The sequence below is a fragment of the Homo sapiens genome, chromosome 3 (assembly GCF_000001405.40).
Source record: "Homo sapiens chromosome 3, GRCh38.p14 Primary Assembly".
Lineage (NCBI taxonomy): Eukaryota > Metazoa > Chordata > Mammalia > Primates > Hominidae > Homo > Homo sapiens.
This window is the reverse complement of record NC_000003.12, coordinates 58,884,770-58,902,493: the sequence shown is the minus strand read 5'-3', so window position 1 is coordinate 58,902,493 and position 17,724 is coordinate 58,884,770. Positions and strand designations below refer to the sequence as shown.

Sequence of the window (17,724 nt, the reverse complement as noted above, 5' to 3'; positions counted from 1 at the left end):
CAGTGAGGTACCACTTAATACCCACTAGGATGGGAATAAGGGTTGGCAAGGATGTAGAGAAATTGGAACCCCTGTACATTACTGGTAGGAACATAAAATCGTTCACCCGCTGTGGGGAAACAGTGTGGCAGTTCCTCAGAAAGTGAAATGTAGAATTACCATGTAACCCTACATTTCCATTCCTAGGTATATACCCAAAAGAATGGAAAACAGGTATTCAAACAAGTGCATGTACATACATAATCATAGCAGCACAATTCACATTAGCCAAAATGTGAAAACAGCCCAAGTGTTCATCAACAAATGAATGGATTAAAAAATGATGTATGTATTACAGTGGAATAGCACTCAGCCATTTGTATGTATTGCAATGGAATGGCATTCAGCCATAAGAAGGAATGCAGTACTGACACTTGCTACAATGTGGAGGAACCTCCAAAACATGCTCAGTGAAAGAAGCCAGACAAAAAAAGGTCACATAATGTATGATTCCACTTTTATGAAATATCCAGAATAGGCAAATCCACAGAGACAGAAGAGATTTGTGGCTGCCAGGGACTGGAGACTTGAGAGATTGGGGAGAAGCTACTTAATGGATAAGGGGTTTTATTTTGGAGTGATAGAAATGTCTGAAAGTAGATAGAGGTGGTAGTTGCACAACATTATGAATGTACTAAGTCCCATTGAATAGTTCACTTTGAAATGGTCAATTTTCTGTTAATGTGAATTTCTCTTCAATAAAGCATTTTTTTAAAAAAGCTCTAAAGGCATGATTCATTCAGGATAGCCAAGTTTTAGGTGTAGCTCAGGTTTATTTACCCCTTCAGACATCAAAACCTTTTGTTATTAAAAAAATCACTTAGTAAGATGTAGTGCTTTTTTCACCATTGTAATGAAATAATTTACATAAACACTTACGTAGCACTTGCTGTATACCAGGCACTATTCTTATCCCCTCATTTACATTAATCATTACTTAAACCTCATTTAATTATCACAATAGCCCTTTGAGGTAAGTATTATTTTTGTGTCCATGATTTACAGATAAGGAGAGCAGGGTACATACAACAAGGTAGAGTTGTTGTGCCAAGGTCACACAGCTAATAAGTGGTGGAGCCAGAATATGAGCCCAGGAAGCCTTGCCCCAGAGCCTGTGCTCTTAACCACTATAATATACTGCTTCTTAATGTTTTCCAGCATTCTATAGCAAACTCAGAGAAAATCTGAGAGTTACATGGCAAATGAATGAGTGAATGAACAAAAAATGAACACACTTTATCGCAATATTTTGGCAGAGAACTTTGTGTTTTATACTTGGCCCTCACTGTTGTTTCAGAGAGGTGAAATTCCACATAACTAAAGCACTGTGCTAGGCACTGCAGGCTCTTACCAAATAAATAAGATGAACGTAGATGAGTCTGAGACCAGCAAACTATTACAAAATTAGTCATTATTTAAACTATATTAATTAGAAGGAGACGTATACCAAAACCGATCTATAAATCTCACTCTCTACAAGCCATTCCCCCTAATAAAATGGGGATGATGATTTTTAATACATAAAGTGCTTTACATATGTGTTAAAATTGATGACTTAATTCTTACAGCTAGTTAAGATCCTCTTCAAAGATATTAAACACCTACAGAATGGATCATTTTATGATGGCTTTATGGCCAAAGAAAGGGGAACAGGGTTACAAAGTCACTCAAACATTCCAATAATACACTACCTCATATTGGGAGCAAAGACATCAAGAAACCCACCATCTGGTTGTGCTTGGACGCTGCATGAGCTGTCAGCTTTCTCATAGCCTTCTCTTTCATGTGCCATTTAGCCATTCTCAACTGGCCATTCCAGCCAACATTACATGCTTTCATATTTGTTAGCAAAAGCAGTTTAGATTCAGCTATGTCCTTATCTAGATGTTAATCAGGCAGTCTGTATGTTTCCATACACAGTCCCTTCCAGAAGATAGAACATGTCTGAAAGAACAATGCAGACAGGCCCTGGTCCCTTAATATCTGATTGATTTGTTATTTGCCATCTGGGAGAAAGTTGTAATATCCAAATAAAATGTGTATGGAGTACTTTTCAGGATATAGCTGAACAAAGACTAACCAAAGGAAGAAAAGGGAAGACGTGGCAGCTGCATTTAATCTAGTCCAGGCTGTTATTAAGGGGCTTCTGTCCATAAGGGGATTACTTTGCATCCCCTTTGAACCAGGTGCTGTACTAAATATATCATTAGGATTCTCCAGTCATTCACTTCCAGGCTAACAATCCTTTGGCAGAACTTTATCTCAGTTCCTAGAATGCACCAGAGTCCTTCTGCCTTCACAGTCTTCGATGATCTATTCCTTTCACCTCACTGATCACTCCCACCCATTTTATCAGGCTACTTTCTACTTATCTTTTATGACTCAACTTAAATGTCTCTTTATCACACAGGACTTTCCCTGACGCCTTATGCTATTAGATTCTCCCATTATGCTGTTTCTTCACCTTGAACTTTTCCCTCAGAGTACTTAGCAAAATTTTAATTAAAGAATTATCTGTGGGGAGAGAGGGCCAGGATGGCTGATTAAAAGCAGCTGTGGTCTGCAGCACTCGTGGAGAGGAGTGAAAGTGGCAAGTGAGTTCAGCACCCTCAGCTGAAATATCCAGGTTCTCACATTACTGACTAGGCAAACAGCTTGACCTGCAGAGAATGGAAAAAAAGCAGGGTGGGGTGATGGCCCATCCGGGAGTGGCATGAAGCCAACAGTCCCCCCACCCCAGCCAAGGGAAGCGGTGAGTGATTGTGCAGTCCTGCCCAGGAAACCACACCCCTCCCACGGATCTTTGCAACCAGCAGATTAGGAGATCCCCTCATAAGCGCATGCCACCAGGGTACTGGGTCCAATAAACAGAGCTGTGTGGAGTCCCAGCAGAGCAGCCACTCAGGCACACACAGAGACCCAGGAGTTTTGCATACTCCACCCCCAGGATTCTCAGCAAGGTGGGAGATCCATCCCTAGGAAGGGAACTGAATCCCGGAAGCCAAGCAGCATGTTCTGCAGGCCCCCCTTCCACAGTGTCTCACAAATTAAGACCTAATGGCAAATTCCAGCCAGTCAGCAGCAGCAGGCTTGAGTCTGCCTGAGAAGGACCGAGTCCCCAGTGGGAGGGGTGGCCAACATCTCTGTGGTTTAGGCAACTCAGCAGTTCCAACCTGCCAGCTCTGGAGAGTCCAGACAGCCTGGACAAGGAAGGGTCTCCCACAACGCAGCACAGCTGCACTACTAGAAAGCAGCCAGACTGTTTTTCTAAGTGGGTCCCTGATCCTGTTACTCCTGACTGGATGAGACCTCCCAACAGGGGTCTCCAGCCTCCTCCTACAGGTGCAGTTCAGGCTGGCAACAGGTCAGTACCCCCCTGGGATGGAGATTCCAGAGGAAAGAACAGGCTGACATTTTTGCTGTTTCATGGCCTTCACTGGTGGTAACCTTGGTATGGGAAAAGACAAGGCAACTAGGGTCTGGAGTGGACCCTCAGAAAACCACAGCAGCCCTATGGAAGAATAGCCTGACTGTTAAAAAAAAAAACAAAGAGAAAACAACAATAACATAAACAAAAAGGACCCCACAAAAACCCAACTCAAAGATGAGCAATCTGAAAGATCAAAGGTAGATAAACCCACAAAAGTGAGAAATAATCAATGCAAAAATACTGAAAACTCAAAAAGCCAGAGTGCCTAGTTGCTTCCACATGACCACAACAGCTCTCCAGCAATGGCACAAAATGGGACTGAGACTGAGATGACTAAACTGACAAGTAGGCTTCAGAAGGTGGGTAATAACGAACTTTGCTGAGCTAAAGGAGCATGTTGTAACCCAAAGCAAAGAAGCTAAGAATCATGATAAAACAATACAGGACCTGATAGCCAAAATAGCCAGTTTAAAGAAGAACGTAACTGAACTGATGGAGGTGAAAAACACAACATGAGAACTTCACAATGCAATCACAGGTATCAATAGCAGGCCAGTTACAGTGGCTAACACCTATAATCTCAGCACTTTGGGAGGCCAAAGCATGTGGATCACTTGAGCTCAGGAGTTTCAGACCAGACTGGCCAACATGGTGAAACCCTGTCTCTACTAAAAATACAAAAATTAGCCGGGCATGCTGATGCGCTTACGTAGTTCCAGTTACTTGGGAGGCTAAGGCAGGGGAATCGCTTAAACCTGGGAGGCAGTGGTTGCCATGAGATGAGATCACACCACTGCACTGTAGCCTGGGTGACAGAGTGAGACACTATCTCACAAAAAAAAAAAAAAGTATCAGTAACAGAATAGACCAAGTGGAGGAAAGAATCTCAGAGCTTGAAGACTATCTTTCCAAAATAAGAAAGGCAGACAAGAATAGAGGGAAAAAAAGGAATGAACAAAACCTCCAAGAAATATGGGGATTATGGAAAGAGACTGAACTTACAACTGACTGAGGTACCTGAAAGAGACCGGGAGATGGAACCAAGTTGGAAAACATATTTCAGGATAGCATCCAGGAGAAATTCCCCAACCTAGTAAGCCAGGCCAACATTTAAATTCAGGAAATGCAGACAACCCCAATAAGATACTCCATGAGACGATCAATGCCAAGGCACATAATCGTCAGATTCTCCAAGGTCAAAATGAAAGAGAAAATGTTAAGGGCAGCCAGAGGGCAAGGCCAGTTCGCATACAAAGGGAAGCCCATCAGACTAGCAGCAGAACTCCCAGCAGAAACCCTACAAGCCAGAAGAGATTGGGAAACAAATTCAACATTCTTAAGAAAAGAATTTCCCCAATCCTGAATTTCATATCTGGCCAAACTAACCTTCAAAAGTGAAAAGAAATAAGATAATTTTCAGACAAGCAAATGCTGAGGGAACTCATCACCACGAGGCTTGCCTTGCAAGCACTTCTGAAGGAAGCACTAAATATGGAAAGGAAATACCATTACCAGCCACTACAAAAACACACTGAAGTACAGTGTATCTGAAGTACACAGCCCAGTAACATTGAAGCAACCACATAAACAAATCTGCAAAATAACCAGCTATCATGTTGACAGGATCAAATTCCCACGTAACAATACTAACCTTAGATGTAAATGGGCTTAGTGTCCCCATTAAAAGACACAATGGCAAGCTGGATAATGAGCCAAGATTCATGGTATGCTGCCATCTCATGTGCAAAGACACACACATAGGCTTAAAATAAAGGAATGGAGGAAAATTTACCAAGCAAATGGAAAACAGAAAAAAGCAGGGGTTGCAATCCTAGTTTCTGACAAATAGACTTTAAACCAACAAATATCAAAAAAGACAAAGAAGGGCATTATGTAGTGGTAAAGGGTTCAATTCAAGAAGTGCTAACAATCCTAAATACATATGCACCCAATACAGGAGCATGCAGGTTCATAAAGCAGGTTCTTAGAGACTTTCAAAGAGACTTAGACTCCCATACAATAATAATGGGAGACTTTAACACCCTGCTGACAATATTAGACAGATCATCAAAGCAAAAAATTCACAAAGATATTTAGGACTTGAACCCAGCTCTGGATCAAGTGGACCTGATAGATATATACAGAACTCTCCACCCAGAAACAACAGAGTATACATTCTTCTCATCCCCACATGACACTCACTCTAAAATTGATCACATAAATCAGAAGTAAAACACTCCTAAGCAAATGCAAAAGAATTGAAATTGTAACAAACAGTCCCTCAGACAACAGCACAACCAAATTAGAACTCAAAATTAAGAAATTCACTCAAAACTACACAAGTACTTGGAAATTGAACAACCGGATCCTGAGTTACTCTTAGGTAAATAATGGGATTAAGGCAGAAATCAAGAAGTTTTTTGAAACTAATGAGAACAAAGAGACAATGTAGCAGAATTTCTGGGATGCAGCTAAAGCACTGTTAAAAGGGAAATTTATAACACTAAATGCCCACATCAAAAAGCTAGAAAGATCACAAGTTAACAAGCTAAATCACAATGAAACAAACTAGAGAAACAAGAGCAAACAAACCCCAAAGCTAGCAGGAGACAAGAAATAACCAAGATCAGAGCTGAAATGAAGGAGATAGAGACACAAAATACCTTTCAAAAAATCAACGAGTCCAGGAGCTGGTTTCTTGAAAAAAATTAATAAAGTAGATAGACCACTAGCTAGAGTAATAAAGATGAAAAGACAAATGAATCAAATAAACTTGAGCAGAAATGGTAACCACTGACCCCACAAAATTGCAAACAACCATCAGAGAATAGTATAAACACCTCTATGCACAAAAACTAGAAAATCCAGTAGAAATGGATAAATTCATGGATGCATACACCCTCCCAAGAGTGAACCAGGAAGAAATTGAGTCACTGAACAGGCGAATAACAAGTTCTGAAATTGAAGCAGTGATACGGATTGGCTGTGTCCCCACCCAGATCTCATCTTGAATTCCCACATGTTGTGGGATGGATCTGGTAGGAGGTAACTGAATCATGGGGGCAGGTCGTTCTTGTGCTGTTCTTGTAATAGCGAATAAGTCTCACAAGATCTGATGGTTTTAAAAAGGGGAGTTTCCCTAGACAAACTCTCTTTGCGTGCTGCCATCCATGTAAGATGTGACTTGCTCCTCCTTGCCTTTCACCATGATTCTGAGGCCTCCCCAGCCATGTAGAACTGTGAGTTCCCCATTAAGCCTCTTTCTTTTGTAAATTGCCCAGTCTCGGGTATGTCTTTATCAGTAGCATGAAAACAGCCTAATACAGTAAATTGGTACCAATAGAGTTGGGGCACTGCTGAAAAGATACCTGAAAATGTAGAAACAACTTTGGAACTAACAGGAGTGCCCAGAAGAAGAAAGGAAAATGTGGGAAAGTTTAGAACTTCCTGAAGACTTGTTGAATGGCTTTAAACAAAATGCTGATAGCGATATGGACAATAAAGTCCAGGCTGAGGTGGTCTCAGAAGGAAATGAGGAACTTGTTGAGAACTGGAGCAAAGGTGATTCTTGTTATGTTTTAGCAAAGAGACTGGTGGCATTTTGCCCATATCCTAGATTTGTGGAACTTTGACCTTGAGAGGGATGATTTAGGGTATCTGGTGGAAGAAATTTCTAAGCAGCAAAGCATTCAAGAGTTGACTTGGGTGCTGTTAAAGGCATTCAGTTTTAAAAGGGAAGCAGAACATGAAAGTTCTGAAAAGTTGCAGCCTGACAATGCGATAGAAAAGAAAATCCCATTTTCTGAGGAGAAATTCAAGCCAGCTGGCTGCAGAAATTGCACAAGTGATGAGGAGCTGAATGTTAACCCCTAAGACAATGGGGAAAATGTCTCTGGGGCATATCAGAGATCTTCTTGGAAACCCCTCCCATCACAGGCCCTAAGGCCTAGAAGGAAAAAATGGTTTCATGGGCCAGGCCCAGGGTCACCATGTTGTGTGCAGCCTGGGGACTTGGTGCCCTGTGACCCAGCTGCTCCAGCCATGGCTACAAGGGGCCAACATAGAGCTTAGGCCATGGCTTCAGAGGGTGCAAGCCCAAAGCCATGGCAGCTTCCACATAGTGTTGAGCCTGCAAGTGCACAGAAGTCAAGAATTGAGGTTTGGGAACCTCCACCTTGATTTCAGAGGACATATGGAAACGCCTGGATGCCCAGGCACAAGTTTGTTGCAGGGGCAGGGCCCTCATGAGAACCTCAGCTAGGGCAGTGCAGAAGGGAAATGTGGGATTGGAGCCACCACACAGACTCCCTACTGGGGCACCATCTAGTGGAGCTGTAAGAAGAGGGCCACCATCCTCCAAACCCCGGAATGGTAGATCCACTGACAGCTTGCACTGTGTGCCTGGAAAACCCACAGACAGTGCCAGCCCATGAAAGCATCTAAGATGGGGACTATACCCTGCAGAGCCACAGGGGTGGAGCTGCCAAAGGCCGTAGGAACCCACCTTCTGCATCAGCGTGTCCTGAATGTGAGACATGGAGTCAAAGGAGATCATTTTGGAGCTTTGAGATTTGACTGCCCTGCTGGATTTTGGACTTGCATGGGGCCTGTAGCTTCTTTGTTTTTGCCAATTTCTCTCATTTGGAATAGGTACCTGTACCCCTGTTGTATCTAGGAAGTAACTAACTTGCTTTTGATTTTACAGGCTCATAGGCAGAAGGGACTTGCCTTGTCTCAGAAGAGACTTTGGACTGTAGTCTTTTTGAGTTAATGCTGAAATGAGTTAAGACTTCGGGGGACTGTTGGGAAGGCATAATTGGCTTTGAAATGTGAGGACGTGAGATTTGGGAGGGGCCAAGGGGAGAATGATATGGTTTGGCTGTGTCCTCACCCAAGTCTCATCTTGAATTCCCACGTGTTGTGGGAGGGACTCAGTAGGAGGTAATTGCATCATGGGGGCAGGTACTTCCCATGCTGTTCTCATGATAGCAAGTAAGTCTTTTGAGATCTGATGGTTTTAAAAAGGGGAGTTTCCCTGCACAAGCTTTTTTTGCCTGCTGCCATCCATGTAACAGGTGACTTGCTCCTTTTCCTTCCACCATGATTGTGAGGCCTCTCCAGCCACGTGGAACTCTGAGTTCTCCATTAAACCTCTTTCTTTTATAAATTGCCCAGTCTCAGGTATGTCTTTATCAGCAGCATGAAAACAGACTAATACAGGCTCCAATAAACAGCCTACCAGCCAAAAAAAAAAAGCCCAGGAACAGATGGATTCACACCTGGATTCTGCCAGAGGTACAAAAAAAGAGCTGGTACCATTTCTAATAAAACTATTCCAAACAATTGAAAAGGAGGGACTCCTCCCTAACTCATTCTGTGAGGCCATCATCCTGATACCAAAACCTGGCAGATATACCACAAAAAAAGAAAACTTAAGGCCAATATCCTTGATGAACATTGATGCAAAAATCTTCACAAAAATATTGGCAAACCAAATCCAGCAGCTTATCAAAAAGCTTGTCCACTGCAATCAAATTGGCTTTATCCCCAGTATGCAAGGTTAGTTCAACATACACAAATCAATAAATGTCATTCATCACATACACAGAACCAAAGACAAAAACCACATGATTATCTTAATAGATGCAGAAAAGGCCTCTGATAAAATTCAACGTTCCTTTGGCCGGGCACGGTGGCTCACGCCTTTAATCCCAGCACTTTGGGAGGCCAAGACAGGCAGATTGCGAGGTCAGGAGATCGAGACCATCCTGGCTAACACAGTGAAACCCCGTCTCTACTAAAAATACAAAAAAATTAGCTGGGCGTAGTGGCAGGCACCTGTAGTCCCAGCTACTCAGGAGGCTGAGGCAGGAGAATGGCATGAACCCGGGAGGCAGAGATTGCAGTGAGCTGAGATTGCACCACTGCACTCCAGCCTGGGCGACTGAGCGAGACTCCATCTCAAAAAAAAAAAAAAAAAATCCTTCATGTTAAAAACTCTCAATAAACCAGGTGTTGAAGAAACACACCTCAAAATAATAAGAACTGTATATGACAAACCCACAGCCAATATCATACTGAACAGGCAAAAGCTGAAAGCATTCCCCTTGGAAACCAGCACAAGACAAGAATGCCCTCTCTCACCACTCCTATGCAATATAGTATTGGAAGTTCTGGCGAGGACAATCAGGCAAGAGAAAAAAATAAAGAGTATTCAAATAGGAAGAGAGGAAGTCAAATTACCTTTTTGCAGATGACATGATCCTATATCTAGAAAACCGCATCATCTCAGCCTAAAGCTTTTTAAGCTGATAAGCAACTTCTGCAAAATCTCAGGATACAAAATAAATGTGCAAACATTGCTAGCATTCCTATACACCAACAACAGGCAAGCAGAGAGCCAAATCATGAATGAACTCCCATTCACAATTGCCACAAAAAGAATAAAATATCTAGGAATACAATTAACAAAGGAATTGAAGGACCTCTTCAAGGAGGACTACAGTCCACTCTCAGAGAAATCAGAGAGGACACAAACAAATGGAAAAACATTCCATGCTCATGGATAGGAAGAATCAATATCATGAAAATGGCCATACTGCTCAAAGTAATTTATAGATTCAGTGCTATTCCCATTAAACTGCCATTGATGTTCTTCACAGAATTAGAAAGAAACTACTTTAAAATTCATGTGGAACCAAAAAAGAATCTGTATAGCCAAGACAATCTTAAGCAAAAAGAACAAAGCTGGAGGCATCATGCTATCCAACTTCAATGTATACTACAAGTCTACAGTAACCAAAAGAGCATGGTACTGATACGAAAACAGGCACATAGACCAGTGGAAGAGAATAGAGAGCCTAGAAATAAGGCCACACATCTACAGCCATCTGATCTTCAACAAAACTGACAAAATCAATGAATGGGGAAAATACTCCCTGTTCAATAAATGATGCTGGGATAACTGGTTAGCCATATGCATCAGATTGAAGCTGGACCCCTTTCTTACACCATATACAAAAATCAACTCAAGATGGATTAAAGACTTAAATGTAAAACCCAAAACTTAAAACCCTAGAAGAAAATCTGGGTATTCAGGACAAGACACAGGCAAAGATTTGTCCACTCAGGACACAGGCATGTGCAAAGATTTCATGATGAAAACACCAAAAGCAATTGCAACAAAAGCGTTTCAAAATAGACAAATGGGCTCTATTAAACTAAGCTTCTGCACAGCAAAAGAAACTATCATCAGAGTGAACAGACAACTTAGAGAATGGGAGAATATTTTTGCAACCTATCCATCTGACAAAGGTTCAATATTCAGAGTCTACAAGGAACTTAAGAAATTTACAAGAAAAAAAAACAAATAACCCCATTAAAAAGTGGGCAAAGGACATGAACAGACACTTCTCAAAAGAAGCCGTACATGCAGCCAACGAACATGAAAAAAAGCTCAGTATCACTGATCATTAGAGAAATGCAAATCAAAAGCACAATGAGATACCATCTCACACCAGTCAGAACGGCCACTATTAAAAAGTAAAAAAGCTCTCTCCCTCTCCCTCTCCCTCTCCCTCTCCCTCTCCCTCTCCCTCTCCCCACGGTCTCCCTCTCTTTCCACGGTCTCCCTCTCATGCGGAGCCGAAGCTGGACTGTACTGCTGCCATCTCGGCTCACTGCAACCTCCCTGCCTGATTCTCCTGCCTCAGCCTGCAGAGTGCCTGCCATTGCAGGCACGCGCCGCCACGCCTGACTGGTTTTGGTGGAGACGGGGTTTCGCTGTGTTGGCCGGGCCGGTCTCCAGCCCCTAACCGCGAGTGATCCGCCAGCCTCGGCCTCCCAAGGTGCCGGGATTGCAGACGGAGTCTCGTTCACTCAGTGCTCAATGGTGCCCAGGCTGGAGTGCAGTGGCGTGATCTCGGCTCACTACAACCTACACCTCCCAGCCGCCTGCCTTGGCCTCCCAAAGTGCCGAGATTGCAGCCTCTGCCCGGCCGCCACCCCGTCTGGGAAGTGAGGAGTGTCTCTGCCTGGCCGCCCATCGTCTGGGATGTGAGGAGCCCCTCTGCCTGGCTGCCCAGTCTGGAAAGTGAGGAGCGTCTCCGCCCGGCCGCCATCCCATCTAGGAAGTGAGGAGCGCCTCTTCCCAGCCACCATCACATCTAGGAAGTGAGGAGCGTCTCTGCCCGGCGGCCCATCGTCTGAGATGTGGGGAGCGCCTCTGCCCCGCCGCCCCATCTGGGATGTGAGGAGCGCCTCTGCCCGGCCGCAACCCCGTCTGGGAGGTGAGGAGCGTCTCTGCCCGGCCGCCCCGTCTGAGAAGTGAGGAGACCCTCTGCCTGGCAACCACCCCGTCTGAAAAGAGGAGCCCCTCCGCCCAGCAGCCACCCCATCTGGGAAGTGAGGAGCGTCTCCGCCCGGCAGCCACCCCGTCCGGGAGGGAGGTGGGGGGGTCAGCCCCCCACCCGGCTAGCCGCCCCGTCTGGGAGGTGAGGGGCGCCTCTGCCCGGCTGCCCCTACTGGGAAGTGAGGAGCCCCTCTGCCCGACCAGCCGCCCCGTCCGGGAGGGACGTGGGGGGGGTCAGCCCCCCCGCCCGGCCAGCCACCCCGTCCGGGAGGTGAGGGGCGCCTCTGCCCGGCCGCCCCTACTGGGAAGTGAGGAGCCCCTCTGCCCGGCCAGCCGCCCCGTCCGGGAGGGAGGTGGGGGGGTCAGCCCCCCGCCCGGACAGCCGCCCCGTCCGGGAGGTGAGGGGTGCCTCTGCCCGGCGGCCCCTACTGGGAAGTGAAGAGCCCCTCTGCCCGGCCAGCCGCCCCGTCCGGGAGGGAGGTGGGGGGGTCAGCCCCCTGCCCAGCCAGCCGCCCCGTCCGGGAGGTGAGGGGCGCCTCTGCCCGGCCGCCCCTACTGGGAAGTGAAGAGCCCCTCTGCCCGGCCACCACCCCGTCTGGGAGGTGTGCCCAACAGCTCATTGAGAACGGGCCAGGATGACAATGGCGGCTTTGTGGAATAGAAAGGCGGGAAAGGTGGGGAAAAGATTGAGAAATCGGATGGTTGCCGTGTCTGTGTAGAAAGAAGTAGACATGGGAGACTTTTCATTTTGTTCTGCACTAAGAAAAATTCTTCTGCCTTGGGATCCTGTTGATCTGTGACCTTACCCCCAACCCTGTGCTCTCTGAAACATGTGCTGTGTCCACTCAGGGTTAAATGGATTAAGGGCGGTGCAAGATGTGCTTTGTTAAACACATGCTTGAAGGCAGCATGCTCGTTAAGAGTCATCACCAATCCCTAATCTCAAGTAATCAGGGACACAAACACTGCGGAAGGCCGCAGGGTCCTCTGCCTAGGAAAACCAGAGACCTTTGTTCACTTGTTTATCTGCTGACCTTCCCTCCACTATTGTCCCATGACCCTGCCAAATCCCCCTCTGTGAGAAACACCCAAGAATTATCAATAAAAAAATAAATTTAAAAAAAGAAAAAAAGAAAAAAAGAAAAAAAAAAGATTGGCGAATGAGCATACTTATGGTTTGGTAAATAGAGGTAATGATTCCTCTCAGTTCTGTTTGCATGGGGGTTGTGGAGCTAGGTCAGCTTCCTCCTGACTGTCTTTGAAGTTTCACTGACAATTCTGGACACTCAGATTCCAGCTTTCCAAGCTTTCCTATTGGCCACTGGGTTAGGTTTCATACTGCTTCTATTGGTTGCTGTGATGGGGTTTGTAAATGGAACGGAGGCAAATCATACTTGTACCCTACTATTGTCATTTATGTGAAAAGTTGTCTAGAACTACGCTGCCCAGTTCAGTAAACACCAGCCACATGTCTAGTCGGCCCTTGAAATGTGGCTAGCCTGAATTGAGACATTCTCTAAGTATAAAATTCACATTGGATTTTGAAGAGCTAGAATGAAATAAAGAATGTGAAATATTCTGTGAGAAAGTTAATAATTTTAATATTGATAACATGTTGAATTAAGATTTTGTATATGTTGGATTAAACAAAATACTAAAATTAAAAAAAAAAGTAAAAAAAAAAAACAATAGATGCTGGTGAGGTTGTGGAGAAAAACGGAATGATTTTACACTGTTGATGGGAGTGCAAATTAGTTCATAGTTCATCCATCATGGAAGACAGCGTGGTGATTCCTCAAGGAACTAGAGGCAGAAATATCATTTGACCCAGCAATCCCATTACTAGGTATATACCCAAAGGAGTATAAATAATTCTACTATAAGGATACATGCACGCATATGTTCACTGCAGCACTATTTGCAATAGCAACGACATGGAACCAGATCTTGTCCTTTGCAGGGACATGGAGCTGGAAGCCATTATCCTCAGCAAACTAATGCAGGAACAGAAAACCAAATACTGCATGCTCTCATAAGTGGGAGCTGAATGATGAGAACACGTGGACACATGGAGGGAGGATAACACACACTAGGGCTTGTCAGGGGTTGGGGAAAGGAGAGCATCAGGAAGTATACCTAATGGATGCTGGGCTTAATACCTGGGTGATGGGATGGTCTGTGCAGCGAGCCACCTTGGCACATACTTACCTATGTAATAAACCTGCACACCCTCCACATGTATCCCTGAACTTAAAATAAAAGTTGAAAAAAAAAGAATTATTTGTGATTTTATTTGTTTCATATTCTCTGCTAGGTGTAAGCTTCAAGGAGGCAAGGACAGGGTCACTCTGGCTCACTGCTAGATTCCCAGCCATTAGACATACGCCTGGCACATAGTAGAGCCTCAATAAATATTTGTTGAATGACACAATGAGTAAATAAATGAAACTGGACCATGCTTTCTGTGAACTCACAATGAAGCGCTATTTAATGTTTATGTAGGGTCTATTCTATTTTCACACTTCACCTTTATTTTAAAATTAAGCTGTATATGCTAAAAATACAATGACTTAGTAATTGGACATAGAAAAGATGGTGATTGGTTAGTGGTGAGGTGGGGAGATGAGTGAATTTCCATTTAGTGCTAGAGAACATCCAGCTGCCAGGTAATAGATGGTCCTAAAGCTCTTTCATAGTTTGGTTTCACAAAAATGAGACTAAAGTCCCTTTTCCAAGTATTCCACCATGAAATCTCAGAGAAACCTTTAGAGCTAGTAGTTCTAGATGGGCTTAATGGTTAGTCTTCATTTTAAAATAATCAACCAGTGTTTTTTAAAAAACATTTCTCCTTTTATTGCAGGTTTTATACTGCTCACAGTTTCCCTCAAAGAATAATCCAGTAAGTGGTGAAACAGTTCTAGGTGCAAAGGGGGAGTAGATATACAGAAAGGAAAGATGTTGGGTGATGCAGATTAGATTTGAGCCTTTTAATGTGAAATCTGATCTGCATGTCAACCACGTTTAAGATTCAGATTGCAGTTTTGTGATAGTCCCTGCCTTGTTGTATCTTCCATAAAAGCTTAGGAATTTACGATTACTAGAGATTTGCTATCTGTCTCTTGTTAGTTGTAAATTCAAGTTTTGTGTTCATACATTTCAAATTTTGTATGCCACTGTATCCTTGTACTTGTCACACAAGCCCGCTAAGCTAAAGTTTTCATGATTCTCGTCATAGGGTTCAGAAGACAGCATTTTATTTCAGGTTTTCACTGGCCTCCAGAATTCTCTTCATCTTCTAATTTAAAAAACCTTCATTTATTAATATTGGCATTGACATGGAAATTATCTTCTTCTATCTCAAAGGAGTTTTGAAGTATATGTCAAATATATCTGAAGTTAGGTAAATATTTACTATTTTGAGAGTTCATTTGCTCAGTTACTTTATATAGATTTTCTAAATGTTGATGACAAAGAATGGATGGACAAAACATCTGAAAACTAATATTTATAAATCTAGTGCATTTTTAATGACTAGAGCATTAGGACATTTAGAAATCATTGCATTGCTGATGAGTATTTAAGTTTTTAGTTAGATGACTGATTTTCCTTTTTCAGATTAGGACATTAGGATCTAATTAGAAAAATGTCATGGCTAGGATGCACAGAAACCTCTTCTATTTGCTTTTATAAATTGTGAGAATTGTACATAAGGAAGTTTTTTGGGGGATGATTGGTTGAATTTTCCTGACTACATACAGTCACATATATACACACAAAATTTCCCACTACATTCTAAAAACAGAAACTTTACTCATAAAAATCAAACATATATAGAAATTATTGTGAAGAATAAAATTAAAAACTATGCTTGAGCTAACCACCTAAGTTAGTTTCATTTGGTATATTTCCTTTCAGTCTTTTTTGCCATTCACACTTTTTTTTCTTTTTCTTTTTCTTTTTTTTAAGACAGGGTCTTTCTCCATCTCCCAGGCTGAAGTGCAGTCGTGCAGTCATAGCTCACTGCAGCCTCCACCGCCCAGGCTCAGGTGATTCTCTCACCTCAGCTTCCTGGGTGGCTGGGACTATGCCCAGCTAATTTTTTTGTTTTTTTTTTAAAGATATATGGGGTATGGCTATGTTACCCAGGCTGGTCTTGAACTTGGGTCTGAAATCCTCCCACCTCAGCCTCCCAAAGTGCTGGGATTACACACTGGAGCCACCACACCCAACCCATTCATACATTTTATAAATTTATTTTCTATGGTTGAGATAGAGTTTTTTGTATCTGTTTTTTTCATTTAACTTTTTATCTCAAGCCTTTCCCATATCGTGAAAACATCTTCATAAATTCAATTTATTGTGGCTCTTTACTGTCTCATCCCATGAAACACTGTTATGTACTTAACACTCCTCAAGTGCTGGAAATTTAAGTTGTTTATTTTTCAGAAATTATAAACGCTTATTTGCATAGATCCTTGAGTTTCTAATTTTTTTAATTTTAGAATAGATTCATAAAATGAAATTACTGAGTAAAATGGTATGAACATTTTTAAGACTTTGGTACACATAGTAAAGTCTTTCTAGGATATTAATACTAATTTATATTCCCACTTGCTACAAATGACAAAGCTTAATATATTTACTATAAAAGAGGTCATATAAGTAAATAGGAAAAATGTACTAATAGTAAAATGGCTTACAAACATGAACAGAAAATTTACTAAAAAGAAAATTACAGAGAGACATCTGCACTCCCATGTTTATTGCAGCACTATTCATAATAGCTGAGATACAGAATCAACATAGGTGTCCAACAACAGATGAATGAATAAAGAAAATGTGGTATACAAACACCATGGAATACTATTCAGCCATAAAAAAGAATGAAATCCTGTCATTTGCAGCAACATGGATAGAAGTGGACATTATGTTAAGTGAAATAAGCCAGGAACAGAAAGTTGAATGCCACGTGTTCTCACTCGTGTGGAAGCTTTAAAAAGTTGATCTCTTAGAAGTAAAAAGAAGTACAGAGGATACTAGATGCTGGAAATGGTAGGGGGAAGGGAGGGGTAGGGAAAGATGTATTAAAGAATACAAATGTATGGCTAGATAAGAGGAATACCACTGTAAGAGGACTATAGTTAACAATAATATGTTATATACTTTCAAATAGATAGGAAGATATTGAGTGTACCCACCAAAAAGGAATGATAAATGTTTGAGATGATGAATATGCTCATTACCCTGATCTGTTCACCATATATTATGTGTATGTAAACATCACTATGAATATGTACAATTCCTATTTGTCAATTAAAAAGCAATTTTTAAGAGACAATTAATATATCCATATAAATATACATGAATGAAATTAAAATAAAATATCATTATAAGTATAATAAGCTATTATTTTGAAAATATTAAAAGGTAAGATGTTAACAGAGGAAGCTGGGTAAAGGGTAACAAGAAACTCTGAACTTTTTTTTAACTTTTCTAAAAGTCTAAAATTATTTCAAATAAGTTAAAAAATTAATTTACCCATATAATGGCTGTGGGTGCTTAGGTTATTCAATATCTTTGTACTTATTGATCTCATATAAATAAGCTGATGTACTCCCAGAAATCTTAAATGGCACATACCTAACTAGTTCTCTCAAGTCACACCTCTAGTATTGAAAAGAAAATATGGAATATTTCCAATGCATGCTCTTATTTATTGTATAGTTCTCTGAACTTGCTCCATATAGTGTAAGCTTTATCTCATTTAATCATGTCTACCCTAGGAAGTAAGCAGTAAAATTATCATGCTCATTTCACAGATGAGAAAATCAGGGCTGAAAGGTTGAATAACTCGTACAAAGTCATACGCTAAAATCTTTAATTTTAATTGATTTCATTTATATGA

At 42.2% G+C, this 17,724-nt stretch overlaps 1 protein-coding gene and 1 long non-coding RNA gene across 29 annotated transcripts in view, besides 3 other annotated features; one reads left to right on the top strand and one right to left on the bottom strand.

The window, feature by feature from the left end:
• CFAP20DC (CFAP20 domain containing) overlaps positions 1-17,724 on the top strand; it is a 333,853-nt gene that overhangs the window by 147,532 nt on the left and 168,597 nt on the right. The window contains exon 1 of one of the 28 annotated variants that reach the window (XM_024453386.2): positions 14,701-14,718. The exons of the other annotated variants lie outside the window; for them this stretch is intronic. The gene's annotated coding sequence lies outside the window, so the exon portion shown is untranslated. Of the gene's footprint in view, positions 1-14,700; positions 14,719-17,724 lie in introns of those variants that run through there. 28 annotated transcript variants of the gene reach the window in all.
• The window catches only part of CFAP20DC-AS1 (CFAP20DC antisense RNA 1), a 194,623-nt gene that overhangs the window by 116,600 nt on the left and 60,299 nt on the right, over positions 1-17,724 (bottom strand). The window lies entirely within an intron of this gene.
• Positions 2,689-2,928: an enhancer, noted in NCBI's record as "active region_20014". NCBI's record gives its function as "activates an Ori minimal core promoter by ATAC-STARR-seq in GM12878 lymphoblastoid cells {active_cell/tissue: GM12878}" and the evidence as "EXISTENCE:reporter gene assay evidence [ECO:0000049][PMID:35858748]".
• Positions 3,100-3,601: an enhancer, noted in NCBI's record as "H3K27ac hESC enhancer chr3:58884619-58885120 (GRCh37/hg19 assembly coordinates)". NCBI's record gives its function as "activates a minimal SCP1, AML or CMV promoter by ChIP-STARR-seq in primed H9 embryonic stem cells {active_cell/tissue: H9 hESC(primed)}" and the evidence as "EXISTENCE:reporter gene assay evidence [ECO:0000049][PMID:30033119]".
• Positions 11,396-11,935: an enhancer, noted in NCBI's record as "H3K27ac-H3K4me1 hESC enhancer chr3:58876285-58876824 (GRCh37/hg19 assembly coordinates)". NCBI's record gives its function as "activates a minimal SCP1, AML or CMV promoter by ChIP-STARR-seq in naive H9 embryonic stem cells {active_cell/tissue: H9 hESC(naive)}" and the evidence as "EXISTENCE:reporter gene assay evidence [ECO:0000049][PMID:30033119]".